The following is a 13,387-nucleotide window of genomic DNA, read 5'->3' on the forward strand; positions in this document are numbered from 1 at the left end:
CGTCCTCCCTTGCGGGTGAGAGGGTGATGGAGGGACCCTCAGGAGCCCAGCAGGAACAATGTCTATCTCCGCAGGCTTTGCAGAGATCCTGGAATATGATAATATGGCGGGCAGAGGCAGGTGGGAGAGGCATGTGTAGATCGGGCTCGAGGAATGGATCTGGTTAGGAAAAAAGGGATCAACAGAGCAAACGAAGCACTCCAGTGTGTAGACAGCTGCAACTAAGGGATGAATGAATCAATAAAAGCCTGTAGGAATGTAATATAATCCAGAAAAACACAGCTACCCCTTTCTCTGCCATTAGACAAGCTGATTCTCATTTACATGAGAGCAACAAACAAGAAAGACTGGACAGAAAAGCTGTGAAAAAATACAATGAGAAGGAAAACTTCCCTGCAAATAGAACAGACTACAAAGCCTTCATAATTAAAACAGTGAGGAAATGGCCAAGTGTCCTCCAAAAATCCAGAAAGAGACCCAGAGACATACGGAAATGTATCTGGTGTCTCATTTCAGAGGAGGTAAATGTTAACATTTTAAATACATGGTGCTAGGACAAACGGATAACCATCAAAAAGACAGAGCTGGATCCATACCTCACACTGTACATGAGGATAAATTCCAAATGGATTGAAATTTAAACATGACAAATTAAATTTTAACAGTGTAGGAAGAAAACATGAACAAATTTATTTGGAACTTTGGTGTAGAAAGGCCTGTCTTGATTTTAAAGATCCAGAAGCCACATACAAAAAAAAAAAATTGATTATATAAAAATAAAAAGCTTCTAGAGAGGGAAAAATACCATAGCAAAGCCAAAAGGTAGGTAAATGAGAAAAAAACATTTTCAACTCTTACCTTCTTAATATATCAAGACTTCCTAGAAATTGAGAATATGAAAAACCTATAGCCCAAAAGAAAAGAGGCAAAAGATTGGAATAGAGAGTTCACAAAAAAGAAATACAAATGGCTCTTTTTTTTTTTGAGACAGAGTCTCACTAAGGTTGGAGTGCAGTGTCACAATCTCAGCTCACTGCAACCTCCACCTCCTGGGTTCAAGCAATTCTGCCACCTCAACCTCCCGAGTAGCTGGGATTACAGGTGCCCGCCATGACACCTGGCTAATTTTTTGTATTTTTAGTAGAGACAGGGTTTCACCATGTTGGCCAGGCTGGTCTCAAACTCCTAGCCTCAGGTGATTCGCCTACCTCAGCCTCCCAAAGTGCTGGGATTACAGGCATGAACCACTGTACCCGGCCACTTTTTTTTTTTTTTTTTTTGAGAGAGGGTCTTGCTTTCATGCCCAGGCTGGAGTGCAGTGGCTCCATCACAGCTCACTGTAACCTCGAACTCCTGCGCTCAAGCAATCTTCCTGCCTCAGCCTCCTGAGTAGATAGGACTACAGGTGTGCACCACCACACCCAGCTAATTTTTAAAATTGTTTGGTAAAGACAGGGTCTCATTATGTTGCCCACGCTGGGCTCTTAAATTTATAAAAGATGTTTGATGAAGAAAGTTTCAGAACACCCTACAGGTGTCTGGACAAACGTAGCTCATGGAAAGACAAAATGGTTCCACTCTTGTGGAGGGCAATCTGGTACTTAAACATTTATCAGAATGGCTAATGTACTACTGTTGCCCGGTGATCCCACCTCTGGGAATTCAGTCACAGCTGCACATGGACAAAATTATGCATGAACAAGATCCATCATCGTAACATTATCACAAGGAGGAATATTGGAAACATCTCAAGTGTCCATCAATGGGACAGCGGTTAAATAAACCTTGTAACACTATGCAACTGTCAGAAAAAATGAATGAGGGGTGTTCTGTATCCTAATAAGGAAAATTCTCCATAGTATAGTCAGGGGGGAAAGCAAGTCTTAGAATAGTATGCTATCTTTTCTGAAAGAAAAGGGAGACATAAGATTGCATATTCATGTTGGCATGTATTTGCATAAACAACACAAGAATAATACACAGGAAACTAATAAAAGTGGTTATGGGGATGTGGGATGGAACAGAGTAGCCAGCGGTGGGGCAAGGACTGAGACTTTTGGTCTGCATCTGGTCCCGAAGGGGAATCCAAAGTCTTCCCAGAGGAACCAAGTGGATGAATTAAATTTCAAATTAAAAAAAAAACAACAGGGTTGGGCGTGGTGATGGTGGCTCACACCTGTAATCCTAGCACTTTGGGAGGCTGAGGCAGGAGGATCATTTGAGACCAGGAGTTCAACACCAGCCTGGCCTCAATATCAAATAGTGAGACCCCCGTCTCTACAAAAATAAAGAAATTAACCTGGCGAGGTGGTGAACCTATAGTCCCAGGTACTTGAGAGGCTGAGAGGGGAGGATCACCTGGGCCCAGGAGTCGGAGGCTGTAGTGAGTTGTAATCACACCACTGCACTCCAGGCTGGGCGACAGAGCAAGACCTTGTTTCTAAAAACAAACAAACAAATAAACAAAACAATAAAAACAACCAAGCAAGCAATCAAATTTAAAAAAGAAAAAGTCAGTAGGAAGAAATTCAAATGAGAAAGAACTTGCTCTGAATGTCTGCTCCATCCTCCAGATCTTTAATCTGAGTTCCATCCCTCATTCTGTCAAAACTCCACAAGGAGTTCCAAGTTTGGGGTTGGTGATTCCTGAGAAAATCGGTTACAGCTGATTTGCAGGTTTAGCATGGCTATTTGTGCAGTCTAAACGTCCAAGCCAGATTTCTACAAGACAGTAAGATTACACCACAACGGCGGGAGCACACGTATATGTCTCTCCTATTTCTGATGTTATGTTGTAAATATTTAAAATAAAGCAATCCAGCCGGGCGCGGTGTCTCATGCCTGTAATCCCAGCCCTTTGGGAGGCCGAGACGAGTGGATCACTTGAGGGCAGGAATTCGAGACCAGCCTGGCCAACATGATGAAATCCCGTCTCTATTAAAAATACAAAAATTCGTCAGGCGTGGTGGAGTGCACCCTGTAGTCCCAGCTACTCAGGAGGCTTGCTTGAGAATTGCTGGAGCCCGGGAAGTGGAGGTTGCAGTGAGCAGAGATCGCGCCACTGCACTCCAGCCTAGGCAACAGAGAGAGATTCCGTCTCAAAAAAAACAAAAATAAAAATAAATAAATAAATATCTAAAAATAAAAATAAAATAAAGCAATCCTTATGATGTTTTAAAAGACTATGAAAGGTGTATTTACAGGGTAGTTCCTGCCGTGTTTTCTGAGCCGGTATCGCAGGGAAGGCTCTGCGTCAGACCTCAGGGCCCCCTTGCTACTAGGAGAACCAGCAAAGTCCCCGTGGGCTGGGTCTTCCCCGGCATGCTCAAGCCACTCACCTTCATATTCTGTGCCCTGGCCACGCAGGTCTGTTGATTTCTTGCCTTCACCTCTGCTCTGCTAGATACTGTTCACGCTGTTGTCTCCCTTCCCTCACTACCTGACAAGTTGACTTCTGTCCACACCTCAGGTCCCAGCTGAAGAGCCTCTCTTCACACAAAGCACACCTGTGGTTGCCAGGGCCTGGGGTGGGGGTCCTGGAAAATGACTGCTCAGCGGGACAGAATTTCTTTCTGGGTTGATAAAAATGTTCTGAAATTAGATAGTACTGATGGTTATAAAACTCTGTGAACTGCAAAACTTTAAGAGGTGAATTTTATAGTATGTAAATAATACTAAATCATTCTTTAAAAATCCCTTCTTAACCGGATGCAATGGCTCACACCTGTGGTCTTAGCTACTTAGGAGGCCGTGGTCGGAGGATTGCTTGAGGCCAGGAGTTCAAGATCAGCCTGGGCAACATAGTAAGATCTCCCATCTCTACCAAAAAAAAAAACCATTAAATTAAATTAGCTGGGCATTAGTGGCATGCACCTATAGTCCCAGCTACTCAGGAGGCTGAAGTGGGAGGATCACCTGAGCCCAGGAGTTTGAGGCTGCAGAGAGCTATGATTGCACCACTGCACTCCAGCCTAGGTGACAGAGCCCTGTTTAAAAAAAAAAAAAAAAAAAATCCCTTCTTCAAGGAAGTCCTCCTAGGTGCACCTGGACCCTCTACCTCAGAGGACCCTGTGACATCCATTACAGCAGATACCACAATTATAGAGAGTAATGGTGTTACTGGTTACTAAATGCAGTAGGATACTGAGAGCATGGTAGGAGGGGTACACTGGCAATAATTTAAAAACAAGAATAAAACAAACCAAAAATTGATCTTCTCTTTACCATGCCATGCCCTGGCAGTTCTAAATAACATCAGTGATAAAAGTCACCTCCCCTCCTCAAATATTCTTTGGTTTAAGTTCTAAACAATTGCAGGGACTACTGTTGAGTTTGAGTGATATGCATGTAAGCTTCAAATTAACACATTCTAATTACTTATCCTTTAATAAGCATTATCATTCTACATGTAACTTAATTCAGAAAATTCCTAATTACAGCCAGTCCTCCACAGATGAACCCAAGCAATAGGGTTTGTTTGTTTGTTTTTGAGATGTTTGTTACTATAACAATGTGGAGTGGCTCAGCTAGCATTTCCCGCCCTGTGATACTATTTATGCCTGCTGCCTTTAAAGTGTAGAATCAAAGTAAACACTGATAGCACACTGATAATGGAGAAAGAAAACAGAATTTGATGTAGCTCAATTCTCTCACTCTATGTAACTGTGTGAGTTTTGATTTGTGTTTTAAAATTTGAAACAGTGAAACAGTGAGAAGTACAAGGTGTAATATTTTTGTTTGATGAATGCAAATTTTAGTCCATGCATAAAATATTTGACTAAATTTGACACTTAAGTTTATTCTTTTCTTCTAATTGTTGTTGGTTTTAAACTAAAGGACAAGGCCGGGCACAGTGGCTCACTCCTGTAATCCCAGCACTTTGGGAGGCCAAGGCAGGCGGATCATGAGGTCAGGAGATTGCGACCACCCTGGCTAACACAGTGAAACCCCATCTCTATTAAGAAATACAAAAAATTAGCCGGATGTGGTGGTGGGCGCCTGTAATCCCAGCTACTCAGGAGGCTGAGGCAGTAGAATGGTGTGAACCTGGGAGGCAAAGCTTGCAGTGAGCAGAGATAGTGCCACTGCACTCCAGCCTGGGCAACAGAGCGAGACTCTGTCTCAAAACAAAACAAAACAAAACAAAACAAAACTAAAGGACAAATTTTAAAAAATTGTTACATTAGTAATTGACTAAACTCTACCTTTTACACAATTTGGTTTTATTAAAATTCACTTACTAGTTACTGAACACTTACATAAAATAATATTACATGAGACTGTAACCAAAATATCAACGTTTAATCTTTAGTAAATATAAAACTGATTGAATAGCTGGATTGAGTTTTTTCCCTTTTTTTGCATGATAACTTATTTTTATTCATTTTATTGACAAGATTATGTAAAGATTCAATATAAGGAAATTTCCAGTGTTTGCATTTATTTTCTATTTTTGTTATTAATTTTGTTATGATTATTGCTAAAAAATAATTTAAGCATATAGAGATTATTTTCTAACACTCCCTTTATTAAACTGTAATATTCATGAAGAATATATTAATGAGCTACAAACATGCTTTACATTTCTAAATATTCTTAATGTATATCAAATACATAATAAGTACGTATATTTTGAAGAATATTCATATTCATTTAAAATATCTAAAAACTGGTTTAATGCAAGGCTTTGGTAAATTGCTAAGTTTGGTGAATTGTTTGGTGATTTAGCCATTCAGTGATTTGTTTTTTGCCCCGTGAGACAGATAGTTTTATCATTACTTCCAAGGGAAAACTGAGGTATAAGGTATGTAAACTATTTGTCCATGGTCAGAAAACCAGTAAGAAGAGCTATGATCTCAATCAAGATCTTCTGATTCTAGCCATTATACTATATTGCTTCCTCACATACCTCCCATTAAAACTAAAGTTGACCATGAAATACCATCCAGCTATAACTTCACCAGAAATGCTGCCTCGGTGAGAATGAATAGCCACATGGGACTACAGACCCCCGTCTACACACCTATGAGTCCAGCTCCCACTTCAGCCTAGTCATCAAGAATTAGAGATCACACGGAGGCAACCCATCAAATGCCCATCAAGTGTCCAAAGTGGTTCACTGGGTCCATGTTCTGAGCCAGGTTTTTGATCATGTTAGGTTCATTCCTGCCTCAGGGCCTTTGCACACACAGTTTTTGTTGTTGTTGTTGTTGTTTTGGTTGTTTTTGTTTTTGAGATGGAATCTTGCTCTGTCACCCAGGCTGGAGTGCAGTGGCATGATCTCGGCTCACTGCAACCTCTGCCTCCTGGGTTCAAGTGATTCTCCTGCCTCAGCCTCCTGAGTAGCTGGGACTACAGGAACACGCCACCATGCCTGGCTAATTTTTGTATTTTTAGTAGAGACAGGGTTTCACCTTATTGGCCAGGCTGGTCTGAAACTCCTGACCTTGTGATCTGCCCACCTGGGCGTCCCAAAGTGCTGGGATTATAGGTGTGAACCACCGCACCCGGCCTGTTTTGTTGTTTTGTTTGGGCCTGGCTTTCCCCTCTGGCTTTTGAAATAACTCTTCCTCATGTTACCTCCTCAGAGAGGCTTTCCTTGACTACAATATCTAAAGTTACTCCTCCCAACCACTAACCATTGTCCTAGTGCTTTGTATTATTTCTATGCACCATTCATCCATCTATATTTCTTTCTTTCTCTTTTCTTCTATGTTATCAGCGACTTGTATAGAATAGATTCCTAATAAGTATTTATTAAGTTATTGAAAGAATGAGGCCAGGCACAGTGGTTCATGCCTGTAATCCCAGCAATTTGGGAGGCTGAGGCAGGCAGATCTCTTGATGCCAGGAGTTGGGATATCAGCCTGGGCAACGTGGCGAAACCCTGTCTCTACCAAAAAATACACAAATTAGCTGGGTGTGATGGTGTACGCCTGTAGTCCAGCTACTAGGGAGGCTGAGGTGGGAGAATCACTTGACCTCAGGAGGCGGAGGTTGCAGTGAGCTACAGTGGTGCCACTGTACTCCAGCCTGGATGACAGAGAGAGACCCTGTCTAAAAAAAAAAGGAAGAAAAGCATGAAGAGATTAATCACAGTGCTAAGGACTCCTCTGAGGTCACATCCAGGCTCAGTGGGGCAGAGCACTGAGAAATGAGCCTGTGCTGTCATACGTAGGATGTGGGGAGGCCTGGCTCACCAGCACCTGAGAACCCTGACTTCCATATTATCCATAACGGGGGTACAGGCTAGGGCTTTCCCCCATCAGCACCCAGCAACACACTACCATCTATCCATTCACAGGTGGGAGTCTCCAGGAGGGGAAGCAGGTAAGGCACAGGCAGGGCCCTGCGCAGGTGGAGACTGGTTTTGTGTCTGGGGTTTGTTCCTTCTGGTGGGTTCCTGGTCTCGCTGCCTTCAAGAATGGAACCGCAGACCTTCACAGTGAGTGTCACAGCCCTTACAGATGGCACAGACCCAAACAGTGAGCAGCCGCAAGACTTAATGTGAAGAGCAAAAGAACAGATATCCCACAACATGCAACGGGACCCAAGCAGGTTGCCTCTGCTGGCTGGGGGGTAGCCAGCTTTTATTCCCTTATCTGTCCCCGCCCATGTCCTGCTGATTGGTCCATTTTACAGAGTGCTGATTGGTCCATTTTACAAACCTCTAGCTACAGAGCGCCTATTGGTGCATTTTTACAGAGCACTGATCGGTGCATTTTACAAACCTCTAGCTAGCTACAGAGCGCCCATTGGTGCGTTTTACAATCCTCTTGTAAGATATAAAAGTTCTCCAAGTTGCCACCCGACCCAGAAGTCCGGCTGGCTTCACCTCTCAGTTTCGTGTTCTACTCCAATACCATCTGTACACCTTCATGCGGGGATTAGGGATTTGACAGGTGAATAGGTTACTCAATAGCGTTCAGAGTTCATAAACCAAGACTCTACCTGCTTCCCACAGCCTGCGTTCATGGGAAAGAGGCAAGAAAATAAAACCAGCCTCAGCTATATCGAATCCTTTCCTTCCCCTCCCAAGTCATTAACAAAGACTGACACTGTAGTATTTATCAAAAAATCTTGTTCCCTAAGTGGTGATACAGAATAATTATCTCAGCATGCAATCAGCTCAGCGATCTTCTTCAAAGCAATTTGTGGCAAGGATATGCAGTTTTTAAATAGATTAAATTTTCAAGAGCTTGCCTCTGAAACCTGGTCAGAATGTATTTACAACTCACCTGGTGAGATGATGCGTATCTTAAGCTGGAATTCTCTTTCGTTAGGTCTTGCTTAATTGAATCAAGCAAAGTCATTTTGGGATCGTCCCAAAAGAAACCCTTTTATCTCAAGGCAAATGTGTTTTAACAAGGCCCTAAGGTGAATAAAAGCTAGGTTTCCACTCACCGGAGCTCTCTGCTCCTCCTTTCAAAAGCCTACCACTCTACTTCATTTGTTTTTCTTTTAAGTGAGGAAATTGCTTATGGAGTTAACTGTTGCCAGTGAAAGCAACAAGTTGCCTCTCCCCTCCTCTACTCTTAAGAAACACCTTGTTTCCCTCCCTCTCTTCCTTCCTTCTTTTAAAATAAATAAGTTATGCATAGCTGGAGCGTGCATGCAATGCTCAGGCGTGGTCCTGGTATAGCCAATAGCGTCATATTCAGCCCTGTTTAATTCCCACTGTCTTGGGTCTAGAATTTAGGCTTTTGAGAAATCTTTATTGAATTAATGAAAACTCAAAGACCACGATTCTGCATTCCCCCAAATCCTGAAGTGCAGTAGGAGCCCATGCAGGGCTTGGGACGGGCTTTTTGCCTCAGCAGCCAGGACAGCCTCTGCATCCGTGACCACCTCCCCGCCCCCCTCGCATTCCCCCCCATCCCCTGGTGATATCCTTCTAGCGCAGGCTCGTGCTCTGGAGGCGGGGTGGGGCCGGGATTCTGCAGCTGTAACCAACTCCCCCGCTGGGGGCATGGGGCTGGTCCCTGGGGCGCACAGAGAAGTTGTGACAGATAATTGACGTGATCGGGAGGGGCGTCCAGGCAGACCTCATGTGACTTCTAAAACCAACCCACAAATCTGAAGCGTGGCTTGCGTGGTCAGCCGCCTGCCTGGCACCCGGTGAACAGTTTCTCCCGGACTCTCTGCATCTAGCCCCAAAGAATCTAAGATTCTTTGTCTAGAAAAGTGCCCTGGTCTTCCCTGGCACCCTTCGCGGTGGGTTTCCTTGACTCCGCATAAACTCCCGTTCCAGCCCAAATCAGAGGCGGTCGCAGCAGCCGTTCCTCGTCTCCATCAGCATCCGCGTTGCCATTTCCCCGTCCTGAGCTGTTGCTCATATCAAATGTCACTCGGGGATGACTAAGAGCCGATGTTGATGAGGAGCCTTCAGCGTTACGGTAAAGGAGCTCGTGCAAACTTAGACCCCAGTCATCTGACGGTCACGTGGGCGGGCGTCGCGGCCCAGGCCCCCGCCTCCTCCGTCCTCCGCGATTCGGACATGACACGGTCCTCCGCGAAGGGCAGGCGTTACATAAACCCGGCGAGCTCACACCGTGCGGCGGGGAGCAGCGCGAACGCTCGACCCGGACACCTCCCTTCCAGGTCCCGTTCCGTAGGCGGGGCCGCTCCCGAGGCACAAGGAGGCCTGCGCGGCGCCCGAGGTGTCCGGATCCCAAAACAGGACCCCAGGAGTTTCTCACACTCAGGACTGGCCCCTAGTTGTCAATCCAGAAAAGGCATCCTCCGTCCTAGATCCAGCCTGTATTTCACGGAAAGCGTTTCCTCCCCCATCCCCAAAGCCGGCAGGGGTGGGGCGGAGAGGGGAGGCCCGGGGAGACTGACTCTATTATATAAACTTGTAATTGGCTCCGGTTCCTGCGGCTCGGGCGGCACTGCAGGACGTTTCCAACCAGATGGGTTGTGAGGCCCCGCGGCTTCCTCCTCTTCTTCCCTCCCCCTCCGCGCCCGTCCCCTGGCCAGCCAAGCCCCACCCTTCTGCCTTCCCAAGGCTACCAGAATTTCCCTGTCTTTCCAGTCCTCCCCTGCACAGGAGATGGCACCCAGAAAAGAAATGCATGATGATTTGAAAATGGTATTCCATTGTTAAACGAATGTATTCCCAGTCTGCTAGTCCTGGCTCCAGCTGACTCTTAGAATCAATCACCTCAGTAACTCAAATGTTCCAAGCTGGGAATCAGTCATCTCAGACCGGCATTCTCAAATGAGCTGGGCGTAGGGGGGTTGTCAAAACTCAGAGCGCTGAGCCCGACGCCCAGAATTATGTTCGATCGCTCTAGATTGGGCCCCAGAAATGTGTATTTCTTTCTTTCTTTTTAGAGGCAGGGTCTCCTTCTGTCGCCCAGGCTGGAGTCCAGTGGTGGAGTCATGGCTCACTGCAGCCTCCACCTCCTGGGCTCAAGCCATCCTCCTGCCTCGGCCTCCCTCATTATAGACATGAGCCACCACACCCAGCGAGGAAGGTGCATTTCTACAAGTTATCAAGTGATGCTGATGCTGTGGAATAGTATACACAGGAGCAGGGTGGTGGTTTATATAATTCTCCTTCCATTAAAAAGGTTTGCAAAACAAATTAATAGTGTGAACAGAATGTCAGGAAGACCAGCCTCCTCTCAGGGATTCTCTGGCAGTTTAGAAGTGAGAGGTGACAGCGTGCTGGCAGCCCTCACAGCCCTTGCTCGCTCTCGGCGCCTCCTCGGCCTTGGTGCCCACTCTGGCCACGCTTGAGGAGCCCTTCAGCCCGCCGCTGCACTGTGGGAGCCCCTTTCTGGGCTGGCCAAGGTCAGAGCCGGCTCCCTCAGCTTGCGGGGAGGTTTGGAGGGGGAGGCGCAGGCGGGAACCGGGGCTGCGGGAGGTGCTTGCGGGCCAGCGCGAGTTCTGGGTGGGCGTGGGCTTGGCGGGCCCGCACTCAGAGCGGCCAGCCGGCCCCACCGGCCCCAGGCAGTGAGGGGCTTAGCACATGGGCCAGCAGCTGCTGTGCTCGACTTCTCACCGGGCCTTAGCTGCCTCCCTGCAGGGCAGGGCTCGGGACCTGCAGCCCGCCATGCCTGAGACTCCACCCCGCCTGCCATGGGCTCCTGCATGGCGCGAGCCTCCCCGAAGAGTGCCACCCCCTGCTCCACAGCGCCCAGGCCCATCGACCACCCAACGGCTGAGGAGTACGGGCACACTGCACAGGACTGGCAGGCAGCTCCACCTGCGGCCTCCGTGCAGGATCCACTGGGTAAAGCCAGCTGGGCTCCTGAGTCTGGTGGGGATGGAGAACCTTTATGTCTAGCTAAGGGATTGTAAATACACCAATCAGCACTCTGTATCTAGCTCAAGGTTTGTAAACACACCAATCAGCACCCTGTGTCTAGCTCAGGGTTTGTGAATGCACCAATCAACACTGTATCTAGCTACTCTGGTGGGGACTTGGAGAACCTTTGTGTCCACACTCTGTATCTAGGTAATCTACTGGGGAGGTGGAGAACTTTTGTGTCTAGCTCGGGGATTGTAAATGCACCAATCAGCACCCTGTCAAAATGGACCAATCAGCTCTCTGTCAAAATGGACCAATCAGCTCTCTGTAAAATGGACCAATCGGCTCTCTGTAAAATGGACCAATCAGCAGCATGTGGGTGGGGCAGATAAGAGAAGAAACGCAGGCTGCGCGAGGTAGTAGTGGTAATCAGTGGGGTATGTTTCTAGGGTGTGCAAGGCTTTGGTCTTTCGCTCTTTGCAGTAAGTGTTGTTGCTGCTTTCTGTTTGGGTTCATGCTGCTTTTATGAGATGTAACACCGTGAAGGTGTGCAGCTTCATTCCTGAAGCCAGTGAGACCACAAACCCATCGGGAGAAACGAGCAACTCCAGACATGCCGCCTAAAGAGCTGTAACACTCACCGCGAAGGTCTGCAGCTTCCCTCCTGATGTAACAAGATCACGAACCCACCAGAAGGAAGAAACTCCGAACACATCCGAATATCAGAGGGGACAAACTCTGAACACGCCGCCTTTAAGAACTGTAACAACGGGAGGGTCCGTGGCTTCATTGTTGAAGTCAGACCAAGAACCCACCAATTCCGGACACAGAAGCACACATTTACAAACAACAAACATGTTCATTATAAATTGTAACATCTATACCTGTGCGTGATGAAGCAACTACAGGAAAACCTCCGATTAGTAACCAAGGTTTGCTCACTCCAGCAACTTGAAATTGAGCATTTTATAGCAGCAGGTGACTTCAGAGACTGGCCAAGCAAAAACCTCATCTAATAGGTGAGAAACAAATGATGGGGGCAGCAAGGTCGGTGGATTTGTGTGGTGAACTGGGAAGGCTGACATCCAGGCAAGCAGGTGTAACTCTGGATAGGGTCAGACCCCAGCCTCCACCTCTAGCTAGCTCTGTAACCTTCTTTTCCCCACTTCCCAATCTGTGGAATGGGATTAAAGTCCATCTTGCTGCAATGTTGTGAAAATTATATAGGATGTATAAAAACCACATAATTCAGATCAGACTTCCATATGTGTCATAGTATTGCTATTATTATTAATGGTCAAAGCCACTGTGCTCATTAGCAGGATCCCTCATTTCTCATCCAGATTGATTTTTTTTCCACTGCCCTAATGAGTAGGGAATGTTTCTTTAAAATATATATACTCATGGCACTTAGGGCTCAAGCTTCTCAAGTGAGAAGCATTTGCTCTTAATTAGTCCAAACAGATGCAGTGGGTTGAACTTTGTGGTTGTTTATGAGGCTGATGGAAGTAACAATCAGCCCAAGAACCAGGAGGATTCAAGATGCCACTTTGGAGTTTTTTGTGAAATGCATACCCTGAGTGGTGTGACTCAGTCTCTCCTGGTATTTATTTATGAGACGGAGTCTGCTCTGTTGCCTAGTCTGGAGTGCAGTGGCGCGATCTTGGCTCACCGCAACCTCCGCCTTCTGGATTCAAAGCAGTTCTTCCTGCCTCAGCCTCCCAAGTAGCTGGGATTACAGGCACCCACCACCACACCCGGCTACTTTTTGTAGTTTTAGTAGAGACAGGGTTTCCCCATGTTGGCCAGGCTGGTCTTGAACTACTGACCTCAGGTGATCCGCCCGCCTCGGCCTCTGAAAGTGCTGGGATTACAGGCATGAGCTACCGCGCCTGGCCTCTCCTGGTTTCCAAAACTGGTGTTTTCAAATGTCACAGGCCAGGGACAGATGTTGTATACGTTATTACTGCTGCCCCGAGGGCAAATACTCTGAAAACTAAAGAATCTTTGAAACTTCAGTCTAGAGTTTAATATTGCTCCCTCTGAGCTCCTAAACAGATGATATTAGTGCTGAAACTGCTTTGTCTGTATTTTCAGGAAACAGACTGTTACTCATACCTTTGCAGCCTC

Source organism: Homo sapiens, chromosome 15 (genome assembly GCF_000001405.40).
Source record: "Homo sapiens chromosome 15, GRCh38.p14 Primary Assembly".
In the NCBI taxonomy this organism is placed as follows: Eukaryota; Metazoa; Chordata; class Mammalia; order Primates; family Hominidae; genus Homo; species Homo sapiens.